The following is a 22,281-nucleotide window of genomic DNA, read 5'->3' on the forward strand; positions in this document are numbered from 1 at the left end:
ACCTGCCTTGGCCTCCCAAAGTGCTGAGATTACAGGCATGAGCCACCGCACCCAGCCCTAGTCTCTCTTTCTAAATAGTAATCTCTGCACCTGGAACACAGTAAGTATAAAATAAGTATCTGTTGAGTAAATGAATGAATATTGAATGAGCTGGTCCACAAGACAGATGTAACCAAACTTCAGTTAAGCTAATCCTAGTGCTTGTTATCCCAATTTTTTTTTTTAGGGAGATTTTGTATTTCTTTAGAAGGATTCTGACCCCAAAGTAACATGCTGTATAGTGTTTTATCAAAGACACTACTAACTGAGAAAGCAAACAAGCACAAAACCAAAGTCTATGCCCCCTCAAAAAACAAAAATCAAAACAAAGTAAAATCCTGATGCCGCTACATTTGCATAAAGATACTTTAAGATAATGGACCTAGCTAATACACAGTTGCTCTTCTTTTCCAGTGTTAAAACTTCCCTTCCTGAACTGCCCACTAAGCTCATCATTCATCTGAATGGCAAGTTTCTAAAAGCCTTAGACAACCTGAAAACCAAGATTTTCATGTGGCCAGAGGCCAATGAAAAGAGCTAGGATTAAAACTCTAGGAAGGGTGAACCCCTATCCTGCCACCAGGATGCTGTCAGGCTACTTCCTCCGTCTCAATCATTAGATGTGGCATCCTGGTCTACGATCAAAACTTAGGTACAAAAGTAGTGCCTTCCAGTAGCTGCCTTGCCCAGCTTCAGCTCTCACAAGGGCTCCTGGATATGGATCCATTTTTTATGAAAGTGAGGAGGAACACTTAGAGAACCAATGTGTGTGTCGAGCATGACAGGGACAACAGCAACACTTAACCCAACTGCCACAGGTCTGGTCTACCCCTGAGCCACATACTCTGTAGGAGTGGAACAATTCTATGGCACGGAGCACATCAAACTTCCTTGCCATGAGGAACTTGACAGCCACATTCCAAGACAGCGGGGAAACATTGTACTGAACTGTCCACTTGTTAATCTCTTCGAGAAACTGCTTGGTAGCCTGTTTGACAAAGAAAGAAAGAATAATTAGTAAGAAGAGAGCATATTTATGGAGTCAAAAAACAAACAAGTGAAAACTATCATCCCTTCTCCAAGCAAGTCTGAACCCAGTTTGCTACAGGGAGCAGGGAAAGACAAACAAAAAGGTAGAAACAGGTCTGAAACCAGACATAGTTAAAATTTGTATAATTCAATGAGGCCAGAAGCCAGATCTAGGTTCAGAAAACAGGACTTAGTGCAGGTATGCATGAAAAAATGAGGGGGGAGAAGAGGGATCCTAAATGAGATGCAAATTACTAGTCCCAAAGCAAAAAATAAAAAAATTTAAAAATTTTGGGAGGCCACACTTTGGGAGGTAGAGGTGGGAGGATCACTTGAGGTCAGGAGTTCAAGACTAGCCTGACCAACATGGTGAAACTCCATCCATCTCTACTAAAAATACAAAACTAGCCGGATGTGGTGGCGCACGCCTGTAATGTCAGCTACTTGGGAGGCTGAGGTAGGAGAACTGCTTAAACCCAAGAGGCAGAGGTTGCAGTGAGCTGAGATCATGCCATTGCACTCCAGCCTGGGCAACAAGAGCGAAACTGTCTCAAAAAAAAAAAGAAAGAAAGAAAAAAAAAGAAAACAAAAAGAAAAGTGGCCAGGCCTTCCGAAGGATTATTGCCTAATGCAGTGTAGTATAGCAGTCTCAGCTGCTGCTTTGGTCCCACAAGCCAAATGGACACAGCAAAAGAATCAGAAAATGGTTTTGGCTTTGGAATTTGAGGCCAGTAAAATTATTAAGAAGAACTTAGCCAATCAAAAGAGCAGCTATTCTTTGTGCTAACTGACCCCACTGGACCTCTTCATGCTTTATATGGCAACCCCAAAACTGGATACTAGTACCCAGAGTCAATAACAGCCCCTCTGGATAGTGGTTTTGGAAAGGGGAGGAAAATTTTCATTTTTACTGTCTGACCCAGGCTGGCAAGATGCCTGCTTCCAGAACTGTTTCTATCTCTCAACTAATTCATGTTCTTTTATGCACTCTCATCCTATTTCTCCTTACATTATAACCAATTTCCTTTTTAGACAAACTACTTTTCTGTTTCTTCATTTTAGAATGATTTAAATTGGGATTTTTTTTTTTCTTTTTTTGAGACAGGGTCTCACTCTGTGACCCAGGCTGGAATGTAGTGGCACAATCTTGGCTCACTGCAGCTTCGACCACCTGGGCTCAAACAATCCTCCAGCCTCAGCCTCTCGAGTAGCTGGGACTATAGGCATGGCATATGTCATCACACCCAGTAATTTTTTTCTTTGTTATTTTTAGTAGAGACAAGGTCTCACTACATAGCCCAGGATTGGTCTCAAACTCCGGGGCTCAAGCGATCCTCTCATGATCCCTCTCAAAGTGCTGGGATTACAGGCATGAGCCACTGCCCTCAGCACATTTTTTTTTTTTTTTTTTTTGAGACAATATCTCACTCTGTCACCCAGCAGACTGCAGTGCAGTGGCACAATTACTGCTCATTGCAGCCTCAAACTCCTGGGCTCAAGGGATCCTCCTGTCCCCGCCTTCCGAGTAGCTGTGACTACAGGTGCACACCACCATGCCTGGATAATTTTTTTGATTTTTTGTAGAGACGAGGACTCCCTTTGTTGGCCAGGCTGGTCTTGAACTCCAGTGCTCAAGTGATCATTCCATCTCGCATTCCCAAAGAGCTGGGATTGCATCTGTGAGCTAAATTGGAATTTTTTTTTTAGATAGTCTCACTCTGTCACCCAGGCTGGAGTGCAGTGGTGCGATCTTGGCTCACTGCAACCTCTGCCTCCAGGGTTCAAGTGATTCTTCTGCCTCAGCCTCCCGAGTAGCTGGGACTACAGGGGCACACCACCACGCCTGGCTAATTTTTGTATTTTTAGTAGAGGCAAGGTTTCACCATATTGGCCAGGCTGGTCTCCAACTCCTGACCTCATGATCCGTCCGCCTCGGCCTCCCAAAGTGCTGGGATTACAGGTGTGAGCCACCGCACCCAGCCAGGAATAATTTTTTTGTAGGCATTCTACACTACTAAAAGCTTCATGCATGGCTATTCTGTCCCTTCCATCCAGAAACTTTTCTCAGCTGTTTGTCTGCAATATGACGAACCTGATGAGAATTCTGAATTTTAACCATACCTCTATTCCCAATCAACCCACAGTTATGACTTATTTATTCATATTTAATAAGCACCTGTTATTTGTTAAGCTAATACTTGCACTGAAAGGTATAACGAATAAAAAAATGAGGTTTGCTTCGAAAGGTATAAAACTAGCCTACCATGTGACCATGGACACGGTAATTCTGTCTTTGCTAATTTTTCAATTGAAAAATAAAGGGAGGACCGGGCACGGTGGCCCACAACTATAATCCCAGCACTTTGGGAAGCCAAGGCGGGTGGATCATTTGAGGTCAGGAGTTCGAGACCAGCCTGGCCAACATGGTGAAACCCTGTCACTATTAAAAATACAAAAATCAGCCAGGCATGGTGGTGCATGTCTGTAATCCCAGCTACTCAGGAGGCTAAGGCAGGAAAATTGCTTGAACCCAGGATGTGGAGGTTGCAGTGAGCCAAGATTGTGCCATTGCACTCCAGCCTGGGTGACAGAGCAAGACTCTGTTTCAAAGAAAAAAAAAATGGCTGGGCGTGTTGGCTTATGCCTGTAATCCCAGCACTTTGGGAGGCCGAGGGCAGATCACGAGGTCAGGAGCTCGAGACCAGCCTGGCCAATATGGTGAAACCCCGTCTCTACTAAAAATACAAAAATTAGCTGGGCATGGTGGCATGCGCCTGTGCTCCCGGCTAGTCAGGAGGCTGAGGCAGAAGAATCGCTTGAACCAGGAGGTGGGGTTGTAGTGAGCCAAGATCGCACCACTGCACTCCAGCCTGAGCGACAGAGAGAGACTCCATCTCAAAAAAAAAAAAAAAAAAAGAAAAGAAAGAAAGAAAGAAAGAAAAAGAAAGGGAGGGCTAGGCACGGTGGCTCATGCCTGTAATCCTAGCACTCCGGGAGGCCAAGGCAGGAAGATCACTTGAGGCCAATTCAAGATCAGCCTGGCCAACGTAGTGAGATCCTGTCTCTATAATAGATATATATATTACATTATATATATTACATATTATATTATTATATATTATATTATAATATATAATATATTATTATTATAATAAAATATATATTATAATAATAAAAATATATATTATAATATATTATATTATAATATATTATAATATAATTTATTATATAATATTATTATATTATAATATATTATATATTATTATATTATAATATACTATAATATATATTATTATATTATAATATACTATAATATATATTATTATATTATAATATACTATAATATATATTATTATATAATATACTATTATATATATTATTATATTATAATATATATAATATATATTATTATATAATATATATAATATATATTATTATATAATATATATAATATAATATATTATTATAATTATTATAATATAATATATAATAGAATATATTATAATATATCATAATATAATATAATATATATTATAATATATTATATATTATGATATATTATATATTACGATATATTATATATTATTATATATTATATTATATATTATAATATATATTTTTATTATTATAATGTATATTTTATATTATATATAATATATATAAGAAAAATAAAGAGAAAAAGCATAATAGCAATGACCTACTTCGGAGTCTTGGCAACAAGTCCTACCTTACAAATACAATTCAAATTGCTACACACTATTTAAACAACTGGCAAACTAAAATCCCAGGAGAGTCAGCAATACCTCATAACAGAGCATCTGATTCATCCCCCAATTTCTAGGAAAGGACAAAAGTACTTTATAAACCCCAGGAAAGTCTAAACGGCCTGAGGCTGCACCTGAGCTTTAGAGCCTTACGATTAAGGCAACATAGCTTACACCATTGGAGAAGGAAAGAACCAGCAAAACCAATCAGGCAAAGTGCATGAAAAGAGCCAAGAAATAAAGGCCATGAAGAAAAGCTTTCAGAAGATCATTCTGGCCTGGAACCAGCTGAAGCCACGCCAGAGAAATGAGTCCCAGAGAAGACAACAGGACAAACTTAGAATGCTCCTTCAGAAAATAGTTTGAATTGCCTCTGTGGAGTGAGTGGCCAGCATCAAAATGAGGAAAGATGGAAGGAAAAAGAAGTGAGCACAGAAAGATCCCAGAAATAAAACTCTAGCCAGTCAGTAAATTCCCCAGGAGACATGGTACCTGTTTTTGTTTTTTGTTTTTTCTGCTTTTTTTTTTTCTTTTGAGACAGAATCTCGCTCTGTCGCCCAGGCTGGAGTACAGTGGCGCAATCTTGGCTCCTGGCAAGCTCCACCTCCCGGGTTCACGCCATTCTCCTGCTTCAGGCTCCCGCCACCACACCCGGCTAATTTTTTTGTATTTTTAATAGAGACAGGGTTTCACCATGTTAGCTGGGATGGTCTCGATCTCCTCACCTCGTGATCCACCTGCCTCGGCCTCCCAAAGTGCTGGGATTACAGGCGTGAGCCACCACCCCCGGCCGAGACATGGTACCTGTTTTTTAATTAACCTATTATCCTTTAAATACAGTTCTCTAGTGGGCCTCTCTGATGTTGCTTATAGAATAAAACACCAGAATAATAGAACATATTTTTCCTGCTACTTAGCTGGGTATACAATTTCTAATAAAAAATAATCAACGGATAAATCAATGTATAAGTAGAAGTGGAAAATGTAAATGACCAAGAGGTGATATGAACTCATCACATATCCATCTGTTAAGATAAATTTTCATTTTTTGGCTGGGCACAGTGGCTCGCCCCTGTAAACCCAGCACTTTGGGAAGCCAAGGTGGGCAGATCATGAGGTCAGGGGTTCGAGACCAGCCTGGCCAACATAGTGAATGAAACCCTGTCTCTACTGAAAATACAAACAATTAACAGGGTGTGGTGGCAGGTGCCTGTAATCCCAGCTACGTGGGAGGCTGAGGCAGTAGAATCGCTTGAACCCAGGAGGCAGAGGTTGCAGTGATCCAAGATCGTGCCACTGCATTCCAGCCCAGGAGACAGTGCGAGACTCTGTCTCAAAAAAAAAAAAAGATAACTTTTCATTTTTCATAAATAAACCATGTCCTAATAAGAGAAAGGCATGCAGGTTTCACACACTTCCTTCAAAGTACATCTTGCCTTCCTTTTTATTAAGCTCAGTTCCTCCAAGGTCCTTAATGTTCTGTAGCTCCCAAGAGCTGTTGCCTTGAGCTGACCTCTGTCCCCCTGCTGGTCAGGATGTTATTCTTGGCTTTAAGCACAGGAACAATTCCTCCTGGTTTGGCCTGACCAGGCCTTGCATGTAGAGTCCAGTGTACTATAAACAGTGATGTGATATTTACAGATACAAATACACATGCGTAGCACCTGCTCTGTTCAGCCTCAGATTCACCCTCCTGCACACCCATCCCTCTGGTGGAAGAGATGAACCTCTAAAAGGAGTCAGAAAGAATGGCCTCATCTTCAACAACCTTCCTTTAGACAGTTAATCAGATTTCTCCCTCTGCTTACACATAGGTTTAACATGACCACTGAGTACAAAGTAATTTGTAGCTCTGCTGGTTACCAGAAAAACAAGTCCCAGCAACTTTAATCAGCAACACAGTCTTCAGAAGGGATAATTGAAATTCTCAAAATTAAAACTCAGTTTATTTCCTAGTGAAAGAAAGAATGAGCCAAAAGATGAGTCACAGCTTAGAAAATATTTTAACTCCAGGACAATGGTTTGAATCTATCTATGCTTATGAAACACAAGTTGTTAACACCTGGCAGCTAAGGAAGAGCTGGAGTTCAAACAGCTCTGGTCTTCCTTTGGGATAAGGTCTGAATTGATATATGGAGAAACTAACATTACCACTTACAACCCTCCTTAACCAGTTTTTCAGGTAAGGGTAAGATTTGTTTTGTTTTGCTTTTTTGAGACAGGTTGTTGCTTTGTCACCGAGGATGGAGTGGAGCAATCATGGCTCACTGCAGCCTCGACCTCCTGGGCTCAATTGATCCTCCTGCCTCAGCCTTTCCAAGTGGCTGAGACTACATGCACACGTCACCATGCCTGGCTAATTTTTGCATTTTTTAGTAGAGATGGGGTTTCACCATGTAGCCCAGGCTGATCTCGAACTCCTGGGCTCAAGAAATCCACCTGCCTCAGCCTCCCAAAGTGCTGGAATTACAGGCATGAGCCACCGTGCCTGGCCTCAAGGGTAAGATTTGTTCCTGCATAGTCAAAAAGCATACTATAATTATCTACTTCTCCCACAACCATGTTTAAATAAATAAAAACAAGTTTCTTGACTATGGCCATGAAGATAAAGATACTAGAGAACCTGCTATAAAACAGCTGAGAAAGCTGTCAATTAAGCAGGGTACACCCTGGACACAATTCATTAGTGTTGAAATAATGGTATCAGAGAGAATAAAACCAACAACATAGCCTCCATGTTACATCAAACTCCCAAGAGCAGCTATAATTTTGAGATGAGCTTTGGGCAAGGAACTAGCCACTCAAGAGGACAAGAATAATGTGCTGGCACTCTCAGTTCCACAGGTAGTACCTTAAATCCTATATCCCAAGACAACCTAGGAGAGTGAAGAGCCAGACCTGTAAGAAACCTGCTCTTGAAATAAACAAAAAACTTCTGTCTCCTGAAATATCAGTTACCTAGCAACAAAGGAGAAAGTTTAGTGTGGTTTTGGGGATTATAAAGAACCAATCCATCTTCTTATTCACTACTGTGTGTTATTTGGGCAAGTCATTTAACCTCTCTGAGCCACAATTTCCTCACCTTGAATGAGAAACGGATGGAAGAGCACCCACTACCATACCTAGCACTTGGTAGTCTCTGAATGGATGAATGTTCATTCTCTTTTTTCTTTACTCTGGTCATTTCACACTAAAACTTCTTTCAACAAAGATAGAATTTCTTAGAATCATATGACCTCTGTTGCTTCCCTTTAGTCTGTATCAATGCAATCTCTCTAATCCATTTTATACAAAACCATACATTTAAACTAGAAATATGTGTTCAGGCTGGGAGTGGTGGCTCACATCTGTAATCCCAGCACTTTGGAAGGCCAAGGTGGGAAGACTGCTTGAGCCCAGGAGTTAGAGACCAGCCTGGGCAACATGGTGAGACCCCATCTCTACAAAAAAATTTAAAAATTAGCCATGCATGGTGGCACATGCCTGTGGTCCCAGCTACTCGGGGGGCTGAGGTGGGAGGAGTGCTTGAGCCTAGGATGCCAAGGCTGCAGAGGGCCAAGATCATACCACTGCAGTCCAGCCTGGGTGACTGAGTGAGACTCTATCTCAAAAAAAAAAAAAAAAGGCCAGGTGCAATGGTTCACGCCTATAATCCCAGCACCTTGGGAGGCCGAGGCAGGTGGATCACCTGAGGTCAGAAGTTTGAGACCAGCCTGGCCAACAGGGTGAAACCTCGTCTCTACTAAGAAAACAAAAATTAACCAGGTGTGCTGGCTTGCGCCTGTAATCCCAGCTACTCAGGAGGCTGATGCGGGAGAATAGCTTGAACCCAGGAGGCAGAGGCTGCAGTAAGCCAAGATCATGTCATTGTACTCCAGCCTGGGTGACAAGAAAGAAAGAAAAACAAAAGAAATAAACATTCAACTGAAAACGATTTTTTTTTTTTTTGAGACAGAGTCTCACTCTGTTGCCCAGGCTGGAGTGCAGTGGCGTGATCTCGGCTCACTGCAAGCTCCGTCTCCTGGGTTCACGCCATTCTCCTGCCTCAGCCTCCTGAGTAGCTGGGACTACAGGCGGCCGCCACCATGCCTGGCTATTTTTTTGTATTTTTAGTAGAGACGGGGTTTCACTATGTTGGCCAGGATGGTCTCGATCCCTTGACCTCGTGATCCACCTGCCTCGGCCTCCCAAAGTGCTGGGATTACAGGCCTGAGCCACCGCGCCCGGCCTCAACTGAAAACACTTTTTAAAGGACCAATTATTCCTTATTCAAGGCTCTGTGGCTATAAAGAAAAAGCTGAGGCCAGAAGTATTTAGACTTCAGTTCCCATCTTTTTGTCCCTACTCTCAGACTTCTCTGGCAGCTCCAGAGATTAACAATGCCATCCTAGGCACAAGCTCCTTTTAACAGCGCAAACTATGGAGAGGTCTCAATACAATAAAGAAACAGGTGTTGATTACAGGTGTTGTGCAGAACAAACACCATGAAAAAATGCAGTCAGTCATCCTGCAATGAAGACCTAAATAAGGAAAGTGATTCAAGATAAGATGCAATGTCTGGCTTTTAACAAATTTGAAGATACTTCTGTATTTCAACAAATATGCCATTTCTCCATTATTTCAGTGATGGATGCATTAATGAACTACCTTCCTCTCATGACCTGTTTCCCCCCTCTCTCCTTCATTGTGATTACTGCCTTTTTATATCTATTGATCTCTTCAGCCCATATTAATCTGCTAGGTGAGACTCTGAGCAAAGACACACTGGTTTGCTATAAGGCAGCAAGAGGTTTGATGAATTTCCAAACTAAAACTACGATTTTTCCATAAGCACTTTGTTAATGTACCAAAAAAGGAAACAAATCCAGTCCCTTTAATATTTACTGGTTTATCTCAAATATTTTCCACTTCTCAGGAAAACATTGCCTTTTCTTAAAATGTGATTTTAAAAGAGATAATGCTTTCTTAAATAGGCTCTTACTGCATTTGGGAAAAGTTTTAAGTATATTTTCTGATTTTATCGTATTATAAAACAATGTAATAACAAAAATTTGCAAAAAGTAAAAGGCCAGTCATAATCTGTGCACACACACATTTAAAGAAAAACTTAAGGGAAGGGGAAAAGAAAGGATTAGTCAAACATTCACAACAAATATTTGCTGAGGGCCCATTCTGTGCTAATCAGTACAGTAGTTGTTGAGAAGACACAACATAGATCGCTTCTTGGCCTTTCGCTAAGATCAAGTGAGAAGACACAACATAGAGACATAAAGACCCTATTCCAAGCAGTTTACAATCATTTAACTATGGAGACAGATGTATAAATACATCTTTACCACATAATGTAATAAATTCTAGGAAGGTTCTATGAACAGAATGCTATGGGATTCAAACTCTCTCTATGGATATAAAAAAAATTTTTTTAGGAGTGCCTTGAAGGATGAGTAGGAATCTGTCAGGCAGAGAAAAGTATTCTAGTCAGAGAACAAAATGTTTCAAATCAGGGTCATGAAAGAACAGGGCTTATTGGGGATATCATATAGCTAGTGTGTCCAATGTGTATGAGGGAGAATGGTGGGAGATGTGTGAACAGGGGGGCTGAACCAGACTGGGAAGGCCCTTGTATGCTGTACTTCAAATTCCAGACATGATCCTATAAACATAAAAGATTCAATAGAGATCTTTAAGCAAAGGGATGAGATGATGAGTTTGGTTCCCCTCTCCCACCTCAAAAAAATAACTATAAGCAGTGGGGAAGTCAGACTGAAAGGAAAAAAAATCTAGCAACAGGGAGGTAAGTTCCCTGAAGACAGGGATCATATCTATTTTATTCACCTAGTTCCTAGCACTGTGCCTGGCACAAAGCACTTACTTAATAAATATCTATGATGAATGAATGAATTAATTATTGAAGTCTCAATATTATTAACATTTAGAGGGCAGACAGAAGATGAAGAACAAAGGAACTTTTACAATTTTCTTTTAGAAATACTAGTGATTGCAGGCCAGGCATGGTGGCTCACACCTGTAATCCCAGCACTTTGGGAGGCCAAGGCAGGCGGATCACCTGAGGTCAGGAATTCGAGACCAGCCTGACCAATATGGCAAAACTCCGTCTCTACTAAAAATACAAAACTTAGCTGGGCATGGTGGTGGGCGCCTGTAATCCCAACTACTCAGGAGGCTGAGGCAAGAGAATTGCTTGAATCCAGGAGGCTGAGGTTGCAGTGAGCCGAGATCATGCCATTGCACTCCAGCCTGGGTGACACAGTGAGACTCCGTCTCAAAAAAAAAAAAAAAAAAAAACTAGTGATTGCTGAAAATCAAATAAATGGTGATCTAAACAAAAACAAGAGGAATCGTCAAATATCTTCCCTAAAAAAAAAAAAAAAAAAAAAAAAAAAAGGCCAGGCTCGGTGGCTCACGCCTGTAATCCCAGCACTTTGGGAGGCTTAGGTGGGTGGACCATGAGGTTAAGAGATCAAGACCATCCTGGCCAACACGGTGAAACCCCCACCTCTATTAAAAATGCAAAAAACTTAGCTGGGCGTGGTGGTGCGCACCTGTAGTCCCAGCTACTCGGGAGGCTGAGGCAGGAGAATCACTTGAACTCAGGAGGCGGAGGTTGCAGTGAGCCGAGATGGTGCCACTGCACTCCAGCAGGGCAACAGAGGGAGACTCCATCTCAAAAAAAAAAAAAAAAAAAAAAAGGCCAGGCGTGGTGGCTCACACCTGTAATCCCAGCACTTTGGGAGGCCAAGGCAGGCGGATCACCTGAGGTCAGGCGTTCAAGACCAGCCTGGCCAACATAGTGAAACCCTGTCTCTTCTAAAAATACAAAAATTAGCTGTGTGTGGTGGTGCCTGCCTGTAATCCCAGCTACTCAGGAGGCTGAGGCAGGAGAATCACTTGAACCCAGGAGGCAGAGGTTGCAGTGAGCCAAGATTGTGCCACTGTACTCCAGCCTGGGAGAGAGAGCAAGACTTTGTCTCGAAACAAAACAAAACAAAACAAAACACACACACACACAAAGCTTCACAGTAAAGATAGCTCTCACATTACAGGCTTCTCCGAGGAATGTAAAGACTTGGTTTAACATCAGGAGATCTATCAAAGCAATTTTTATGTTAACAGGAAAGGAAAAAAAAGTATATAACCTTCTCAACAGATGCTGAAAATGCACTGCGTAAAATCCATCACACATAGGCCCCGTAATTTTTTTCTATTAAAGATGAGAAGGCCAGCAGGTACCTGCTATTACCACCACTATGTAACATTGCACTGAAGGTCATACCTAACAGAAGCCAAAAGATGCGTAACAACCTGATGCAAAAAGACAGGAATTTTAGGCCAGGTGTGGTGGCTCCAATCTATAATCCCAGCACTCTGGGAGGCCGAAGTGGGCAGACTGCTTGATCTCAGGAGTTCGTGACCAGCCTGAGGAACATGACAAAACCCCGTCTCTACAAAAAATACAAAAATTCGCCCAGCATGATGGCACACGCCTACAGTCCCACAAGTGGGAGGATCACTTAAGCCCGGGAGGCAGAGGCTGCAGTGAGCTGAAACTGTACCACTGCATGGCCCCCCAGCCTGGGTGACACAGCCAGACCCTGTCTCAAAAAAAAAAAGGAATGTTAAAGAAGAGAATAAAATTCAGAAACCACACAGTGTATATCTAAGTATACAGTATATGAAACAAGTAATATGACTATTAGTAAGCAAAAAGTATTATAGGAATTTAGATATGCACATAAATATTTGTAGGATACACAAAAAACTGGTAATAATGGTCACCTCTGGGGAGAGAAAATGAACTGGGGCTGGGTGTAATGCTTCACACCTGTAACCCCAACACTTTGTGAGGCTGAGGCAGGAGGATCACTTGAATCCAGTAGTTCCAGACCAGCCTAGGCAACAAAGCAAGACCCAGTCTCTATAAAAAAAATAAAAAAGAAAGAAAGAAAGAAAGAAAGAAAATGAACTGGGAAACAGCATTGGAAGATAACTATAAGCAACCTTTAAAAAATTTTTTTTTGGCCGGGCGTGGTGGCTCACGCCTGTAATCTCAGGTGTTTCACCATTTTGGCCAGGATGGTCTTGATCTCTCGACCTCATGATCCGCCCGCCTTGGCCTCCCAAAGTGCTGGGATTATAGGCGTGAGCCACTGTGCCCGGCCAGTGATTTATCTTTAGTAAACAAATTACATTTACTATCTTCTCTCTGAAGGAAGTTGGTATTTAGAAGATTTTTTTTTTTTTTTTGAGATGGAGTCTCGCACTGCCACCCAGGCTGGAGTGCAATCGCACAATCTTGGCTCACTGCAACCTCTGCCTCCCAAGTTCAAGTGATTCTCCTGCCTCAGCCTCCCAAGAAGCTGGGATTACAGGCGTACCTGCCTACTTTTTGTGTGTGTTTTTAGTAGAGACGGGGTTTCACTACGTTGGCCAGACTGGTCTCGAACTCCTGACCTCATGATCCGCCCGCCTCAGCCTCCCAAAGTGCTGGGATTACAGGCATGAGCCACCGCGCCCAGCCTAGTAGAGAAGATTTAATTGGAGGACCACGAAGGTAGAAATGTTCACCCATTTGAATATGTGAACTTTTTTATTGTTGTTTTTTGAGATAGAATCTCCCTCTGTCACCCAGGCTGGAGTGCAGCGGTGTGATCTCGGCTCACTGCAACCTTGGCCTCCCAGGTTCAAGTGATTCTTCTGCCTCAGCCTCCTGAGTAGCTGGGATTACAGGCGCGCACCACCACGCCAGGCTAACTTTGTATTTTTAGTGGAGACGGGGTTTCACCATGTTGGCCAGGCTGGTCTCGAACTCCTGGCCTCAAGTAATCCGCCTCAAGCAACTCCCCTGACCTCCCAAAGTGCTGCGATTATAGGCAAGAGCCGCCACGTCTGGCCTGAATGTGTGAACTTCTAAATTATATGTCACGTTTTATTTATTAGGAAGTGTGAAGTATAGAATTCCTTATGGCTAAGACCTATAAAGGTATCATTAAAAAATTTAAAGACATAAAATACCCCTCAGTTTCTCTGCCTTTTTGAAGGAAAGCATCAGAAATAAAAAACAAAAGTGAAACTGACTTTTACAAAAGTTTAGTCCATTGAGATAGAGCAAATAAATAGGCACAATGAAAGAAAAGGGAATAGAGTCAACTAAGTTTGAGTGCACTGTAAATACTTTTTTAAAAATAATGTGTGGCCGGGCATGTTGGCTCACGCCTGTAATCCTAGCACTTTGGGAAGACAAGGCAGGTGGATCTCAAGAGTTCGAGACCAGCCTGGCCAACATGGCAAAACTCTGTCTCTACTAAAAATACAAAAATTAGCCAGACGTGGTGGCACATGCCTGTAATCCCAGCCATTCAGGAGGCTGAAGCAGGAGAATCGCTTAAACCCAGGAGGTGGAGGTTGCAGTGAGCTGAGATCGCACCAGCCTGGGTGACAGAGCAAGACTCTGTCTCTAAAAAAAAAAAAAAAAAAAGAAAGAAAGAAAGAAAGAAAGAAAAATGTGAATCAGGTCTGATTGGAAGCACTACTTCTGCTGCCTTCCTGTTTGTACTTTTCAGTTGCTGCAAGAATGATCCAGGCGGCTGCTAGGTGAGGTGACACATAATTCCAGCATTTTGGGAGGCTGAGGTGGGAGGATTCCTTGAGACCAGCATGGATAACATAGTGAGATCCTGTCTCTATTTAAAACAAAAAAAGGATGATCCAGGTGGGACGAGATGACTCATGCCCGTAATCCAAGCACTTTGGGAAGCTGAGGTGGGAGGATCGCTTGAGCCCAGGAGTTTGAGACCAGCCTGGGCAACACAGGGAAACCTCGTCTCTAAAAAAAAAATTAAAAATTAGCCAGGTGTGGTGGTGCACACCTGTAGTCCCAGGTACTCAGGAGGCTGAGGTAGGAGGATCACTTGAGCCTAGGAGGTCCAGGCTGCAGTGAGCTGTGATCACACCACTGCACTTCAGCCTGGGTAACAGTGAAACCCTGTCTCAAAAAATAAAAAAATAAAAAATAAAAAAAAAGAGACAGGATCTTGCTCTTGCCCAGGCTTGAGTGCAGTGGCATGATCATAGCTCAGTGTAACCTTGAAGTCCTAGGCTCAAATGATTCTCCTGCCCCAGCCTCCCTAGTAGCTGGAACTACAGGTGTGTGCCACCACATCTGGCTACTTTTTTAATTTTTGTAGAGATAGGGTCTCACCAGCCGAGACTGGTGTCGCACTCCTGGCCTCCAGTGATCTTCCCCCATTAGCCTACTGAAGCGCTGGGATTACAGGCATGATCCACCACACCTGCCCTCATTTTATTATTATTATTATTAATTAATTAATTAATTTTTTGAGACAGAGTCTCGCTCTGTCGCCCAGGCTGGAGTGCAGTGGCATGATCTCGGCTCACTGCAAGCTCCGCCTCCCAGGTTCACACCATTCTCCTGCCTCAGCCTCCCCAGTAGCTGTAACTACAGGTGCGCGCCACCATGCCTGGCTAATTTTTTGTATTTTTAGTAGAGACGGGATTTCACCGTGTTAGCCAGGATGGTCTTGATCTCCTGACCTCCTGATCCGCCTGCCTCAGCCTCTCAAAGTGCTGGGATTACAGGCGTGAGCCACTGCACCTGGCCTTTATTATTTTTTGTTTTTGAGACGGAGTCTTACTCTGTCACCTAGGTTGGAGTGCAGTAGTGCGATCTCAGCTCACTGCAACCTCCACCTCCCAGGTTCAAGCAGTTCTCCTGCCTCAGCCTCCTGAGATTGAGACCATCCTGGAACATGGTGAAACCCCGTCTCTGCTAAAAATACAAAAATTAGCTGGGAGTGGTGGCGTGCACCTGTAGTCCCAGCTACTCAGAGGCTGAGGCAGAAGAATCGCCTGAACCTAGGAGGCAGAGGTTGCAGTGAGCCGAGATGGTGCCACTGCACTCCAGCCTGGTGACAGAGCAAGATGCCATCTCAAAAATAAAATAAAATAAAATAAAATAAAATATAAATCATTAATAGGTCTACTCCCAGCAATCTGGATAAATGTATATTGGGAACTCAGAACCAACTGCTTAAAACTACATGTGGCACAGAATCTTTCACAATGAGTTTACAAACATTTTCTTCCTTTAAAAGATAACCCATATTATCAGGTCTCTTTATTCTGATATCCACATGTTGCAAGATAGAAAGTCTTTCTTGTTCATCCGTTAAGGGACTATGTGCACTTCAAACTCAAAGCCCTACAAATCTCATCAGAAAGGGTAAGGCCAAATAACCATGAAGAAAGGCCTAACACCCATCTGCCTAATGAAACCAAATAGGATGGTTCTGAAACCATGGGACTCTTCCATCTACCACATCAAGCATTATGCAAGAACCCAAGAAGAAAAAAAGCTAACTGCTATTAAAGGATTAATATCCCACTGGGAACGGATCAACAGGAAACCAGGGTTGACCAAGTGAAGTTTCCCATCTGAGTCCAAAGCTTCAGGCAACACTGAGGGGCCAGAGTTAACTGAACTGTTAAACACGAAAAGCTCCTCAGTGTTAATGACTTCCTACCAGCAGAAGTGAAGGGCTAAGGTTTATCAGCACTCCACCAGCCAAGTGTGACAGCCCCAGATCAGGAATAGTTTGTCTCCAATACCTGATGAGCAGAAAATGTTCTATTCCTTTTCAAATGCTATTTCTGTCTCCTTTGGCTCATGGTTCCTTTGTACACATAAGACAGCATTAGTCACATATTAAAGAAGGCAATTCAATCCCTTCATTTTTTTTTTGGCTTTTTTTTTTTAATTATACTTTTAAGTTTTCGGGTACATGTGCACAATGTGCAGGTTTGTTACATATGTATACATGTGCCATGTTGATGTGCTGCACCCATTAACTCGTCATTTAGCATTAGGTATATCTCCTAATGCTATCCCTCCCCCCTCCCCCCACCCCACGACAGTCCCCGGTGTGTAATGTTCCCCTTCCTGTGTCCATGTGTTCTCACTGTTCAATTCCCACCTATGAGTGAGAACATGCAGTGTTTCGTTTTTTGTCCTTGCAATACTTTGCTGAGAATGATGTTTTCCAGTTTCATCCATGTCCCTACAAAGGACATGAACTCATCATTTTTTATGGCTGCCCTTCATTTTTCTAGAGCAAGATTTTGCCCCTCCCAGTTCACACAGACCAAAGAGCAAAGTCCTGCAAGAAATCACAGTAGTAGTAACCATGTGTGAAGCATTTAAGATATACCAGAGAAGGAACCATACTACATCATACTCAACACTGACAAGCTAGGTATTATTAACCGCATAAAGAAATCAAAGGCTCACAGAGCCGAAGCAAACTGTCCAAGGTTACTCAACCAATAAATGGCAGAGCTGAGGTTTTGAGCACTGAATCCAAGTCTTTTCAAATCCTTATAGTCTTTCCACTTCACTAAATGGGCATGAGACATACAAGACACATATCATTCATCTTATTGGGTAATATATATGTCATTTGTTTGTTGATCTATGCACAAAATTACTCTGGAAGAATAAATAAGAAACTGGTAGCATCAGCTGTCTCAGAGGAGAACTAGGTAGCTGGGAGACATGGTGAGAAGATTAATATTTTCCATATTCCTTTCTGTATCTTTTTAAGTTTAAATCGTATGACTATATTATCCACTCAAAAAAATAACAATAAAACATATTAGTTTTATATAGCCTTTAACTAAAATATACATAACAGGAATTTTTGAACATAATATTTTTGAAACTATGCCACCAAACAATAATAAGTTTGTTGGTAATCTTCATTTCAGGGCCAAAAAAATGAGTTAGGGAGCTCTACACAGGGGTAAAGGATGACAGCTGTTTCACGAACTGCTAGCCTTAGATGGGGATGCTTCAACGAGGAGTGTGCCACTCTCACTTTCCTGCTGGAGGCATTTGCCAATAGCATATTTACTAAACACAAGCTGGCATCTCTCCTCTCAGGTTTAAAAAACACTTGCCAGGCCAAAGTTATCAAAGAGGATGAAGAATTCCCAGAGACAACAGAGGAAATAGGTAAACAAGGAAAACAAGGAAGTAAACAATTCTAAATTGTCATAGGAGAAAATTCATGTTAGGAGGTTGAGAGGCAGAATATAACACAGAAGAGAAACGGAAAAAAACGAAACCTGCCGAGTAAACAAGCAGCTCCTGGCCAGGCGTGGGGGCTCACACCCATAATCCCAACACTTTGGAGGCCAAGGCAGGAGGATCGTTTGAGCCCAGGAATTTGAAACCAGCCTGGACAACACAGGGTTATCCAATCTCCACAACATATGAAAATAAATTAGCCGGGTGTGGCAGTGTACTGCTGTGGTCCTAGCAGGAGGCTGAAGGGGGAGGATCACTTGAGCCTGGGAGTCCAAGTCTACAGTGAGCTGTGATGATGCCACTGTGTTCCAGCCTGGGTGACAGAGCAGAACCTGTCTCAAAAAGCAAAACAACAACAAACAAACAAAACACACACACACAAAAACAAGAAGCTCCTCATCCACCAACAAGAGCAACATCATCTAGGTTCCCAGAGGGAGGTAACAGAGGTAGCTGGTCACACTCTCCACAAGAACCTGTAGACAGCTTGCCAACTGCCACTCATGCCGCTAAAGAGTGAGTGAACCACACAACCAGAAGAAACCTGTAAAGTCTTTCTGGGGGAAAAAAAAATTTAAAGAGCTTGGTAAACATAGAGAGTGGGAGGGGCCTTTGGTAACATTTTTTTTTTCTCTTCTTCCAACTGATAGCTTAGACTTTAGGAAAGAAAGGAGGAATGTGAATGGCTGTGAGGAAATTGAAGTTGGCTTTCCAGATCATGCTAAAACATTCTTACCCTTCCTCTACTCCCAAACCTGGCTTATTCCTATTTCTCCTTCAGGTCAGCCTAAATCCTACTTCATCCTATAAATTTCTACTGCTTTCCAGCCAAGCACTGACCAAACAGTATTATAAAGCATGTTATTGTCTATCTGCTCCCACTAAACTGTAAGCTTGGGAAGATGCAGGGGCCAAGGGTTCTGTGCCACAACTGCATACTCAACACCAAGCATAGTGACACCATTCTGATAAGTAAATGTGTCAATGGTGATGGGCTCTTGGCCTGCTAAAAGAGTGTGGTTCAGAGAGTAGGAAGAACACATTTGAACACTTGCCAATCTGATTATGGGAACTTAAAATTTAAAATACAGGAGAGGGCCGAGCATGGTGGTTCACACTTGTAATCCCAACACTATGGGAGGCTGAGATGAGTAGAATGCTTGACCCCAGGAGTTCAAGACCAGCCTGGGCAACATAGTGAGACCCCCCCATCTCTAGAAAAGATTTAAAATAAAGTAAAACAAAACAAAACAAAATAAAATAAAGTAAGAGGACAGCAAAAAATTCCTAAATAAAACTGGGAAAGAACATCAGGAAAATAACATGAGAAGAAAAGCAATGAAAGAGGTGACTATTAAATCACAGAAGAAACTATCTGGAAATTAGATATCTTAATTCCCTGCCAATATCTTAACGTCAGACATCTATAATAGGATATACAAAATAAAATAATTTAAAATAAATTTATGGCCAGGCGCGGTGGCTCATGCCTGTAATCCCAGCACTTTGGGAGGCGGAGGCAGGTGGAATCACTTGAGATCAGGAGTTCGACATCATGACAACAGCCTGGCCAACATGGCGAAACCCCGTCTCTACTAAAAATACAAAAATTAGCTGGGTGTGGTGGCGCACGCCTGTAGTCCCAGCTACTTGGGAAGCTGAGGCACGAGAATTGCTTGAGCCAGGGATGGGAGGATGCAGTGAGCCAAGATCACATCACTGCACTCCAGCCTGGGTGACAGAGCAAGATTCTGTCTGAAAAAATAGATTAAAGTAAATTTATGGATTTTGTAAAATAAGTAAGACATGGTCTCTACCCATAAAAATCTGAGTCTGGCAGAACTGTGAACACAATACACCAACTAATGGGCAAATGGAATTCAAATCTTTATTATTTTTACTTATTTATTTTTGTCTTTTACAAACAAAAGTAAGTAATTCAGATCTCAAGAGGGGAAGTGGAATGACAGCACATCCCAAAATGATATTCCCTGGAGAAATCCACAAACCACAGTAGAAAATTTCTGAATGAGGATAAAAGAGAGTAATGGACATGATACAGCTACTGGGAGACCCCTTCAAACTTCTCAATAACAGAAAATATAGATTGTTTTCTTGACTCAGATCCCAAAATTGTCAGGGTGATAATGGTGTATAGAAATAGGGAACTTCAGCCAGGCGCAGTGCCTCACGCCTGTAATCCCAGTACTTTGGGAGGCCGAGGCGGGCAGATCACGAGGTCAGGAGTTCAAGACCAGCCTGGCTAACATGGTGAAACCCCATCTCTACTAAAAGCATAAAAAATAAGCCAGGCATGGTGGCACATGCCTGTACTCCCAGCTACTCAGGAGGCTGAGGCAGGAGAATCGCTTCAACCTGGGAGGCAGAAGTTGCAGTGAGCCGAGATCATGCCACTGCACTCTAGCCTGGGCGACAGAGCAAGACTCTGTCTCAAAAAAAAAAAAGAAATAGAGAACTTCATTAACCTTGACATTTGCTGGATATCACATTTAACTTAAAAAGGGTGGGTGGGCACAGAAAGCCTGATAAATTCTTGTGGACAGTTTCATCCTAAAATGATAAGAGAACGACTACACTGGACATTATCCAGACTAAGGAGAAATACTAGATGAAAAATTGAAAGGGTTTCAAGAAGAAAGTAACCACATAATCCTTAACAGTGTGATAGCCAACAACTAAGTGTTGTCAACAGGAGGCAGTTAAGAATGCAAGTTCTAGACAGAGCACTAGTCACCCTACATTAAAGACCCAGTTCTGCCACAGCAGAACTCTCACTCAGGCAAGTCAAAAACCACCTGTGCCAGGCCAGGCACGGTGGCTCATGCCTGTAATCCCAGCACTTTGGGAGGCCTGGGTGGGTGGATCACCTGAGGTCAGGAGTTTGAAACCAGCTGGCCAAATGGTGAAACTTTGTCTCTACTAAAAATACAAAAACATTACCAGATGTGGTGGTGTGCACCTGTAGTCCTAGCTACTAGGGAGGCTGAGGCAGGAGAATCGCTTGAACACGGGAGGCAGAGGTTGCAGTGAGCTGAGATAGCACCACTGCACTTCAGCTTGGCCGACAGAGCAAGACTCTGTCTCAAAAAAAAAAAAAAAAAAAAAAGGCCAGGCACAGTGGCTCACACCGGTAATCCCAGCACTTTGGGAGGCCAAGGCAGGTGGATCATGAGGTCAAGAGTTCAAGACCACCCTGGCCAACATGGTGAAACCCCGTCTCTACTAAAAATACATAAATTAGCCAGGCGTGGTGGCAGACAAAACAAAACAAAAAACAAAACAAGACAAAAAAAACCTCTGTGCCATACATTTTCTCATCCAAAAAAGGAAACCTGCCTATGCTGTCTCGCATGATCAAATAACTGGCTATCCTTGAAGGCATTGTGTAAAACTTAACTACACTGCATTAAGTAACACCAGACCTTAACAATAGCTAATATTTACTGGATATAGGGTTCTTTTTTTTTTTTTTTGAGACGAAGCCTCGCTCTGTCACCCAGGCTGGAGTGCAGTGACTCAATCTTGGCTCACTGCAACCTCGGCCTCCTGGGTTCAAGCAATTCTCCTGCCTCAGCCTCCTGAGTAGCTGGGATTACAGGCATGCGCCACCACACCCGGCTAATTTTTGTATTTTTAGCAGAGATGGGGTTTCACCATATTAGCCAGGCTATTGTCGAACTCCTGATCTCAAGTGATCCACTTGCCTCAGCCTCCCAAAGTGCTGGGATTACAGGTGTAAGCCACCATGCCTGGCCCCTACTGGGTACAGAGTTCTAATCACAAGTCAGAGACTAAGATTTAGATAGATTATCAAATTCTCTCAATAGCCCTTAAAGATTGATACTATTATTATCCCTATATTACAGTTGAGAAAACAGATTTCGAACTGTTAGGTAACTTGTCCAAAGTCCCAGAACAAGAAAAGTGGTAGAGCCTGAATCAGAACACAGGTTTTCTGACTCTAGAGAATCCACATTATAACCACTGTATTACAGTGCTTTCAAAATGCAGATTTAACTAAATTAAAATATCATAATATAAACTTCTTCTTTTTTTTTTTTTGAGATGGAATCTCACTCTTGTCACCCAGGCTAGAGTGCAATGGGACGATCTCGGCTCACTGCAACCTCCACCTCCCAGGTTCAAGCTATTCTCCTGCCTCAGCCTCCCAAGTAGCTGGGATTACAGGCGCCCACCACCATGCCCAGCTAATTTTTGCACTTTTAATAGAGATAGGGTTTTGCCATGTTGGCCAGGTTGGTCTTGAACTCCTGATTTCGTGATCTGCTCACCTCAGCCTCCCAA

General features: G+C 42.4%; 1 protein-coding gene across 1 annotated transcript in view; it reads right to left on the reverse strand.

Annotated features, from left to right (window-relative positions):
• Positions 1 to 22,281, reverse strand: part of PTPN9 (protein tyrosine phosphatase non-receptor type 9) — a 116,065-nt gene that overhangs the window by 62,984 nt on the left and 30,800 nt on the right. The window contains exon 2 of the mRNA NM_002833.4: positions 884 to 1,027. Within this exon, the coding sequence (NP_002824.1) occupies positions 884 to 1,027 (144 nt within the window). The remainder of the gene's footprint in view (positions 1 to 883; positions 1,028 to 22,281) is intronic.

The sequence above is a fragment of the Homo sapiens genome, chromosome 15 (assembly GCF_000001405.40).
Source record: "Homo sapiens chromosome 15, GRCh38.p14 Primary Assembly".
NCBI classification, from domain to species: domain Eukaryota; kingdom Metazoa; phylum Chordata; class Mammalia; order Primates; family Hominidae; genus Homo; species Homo sapiens.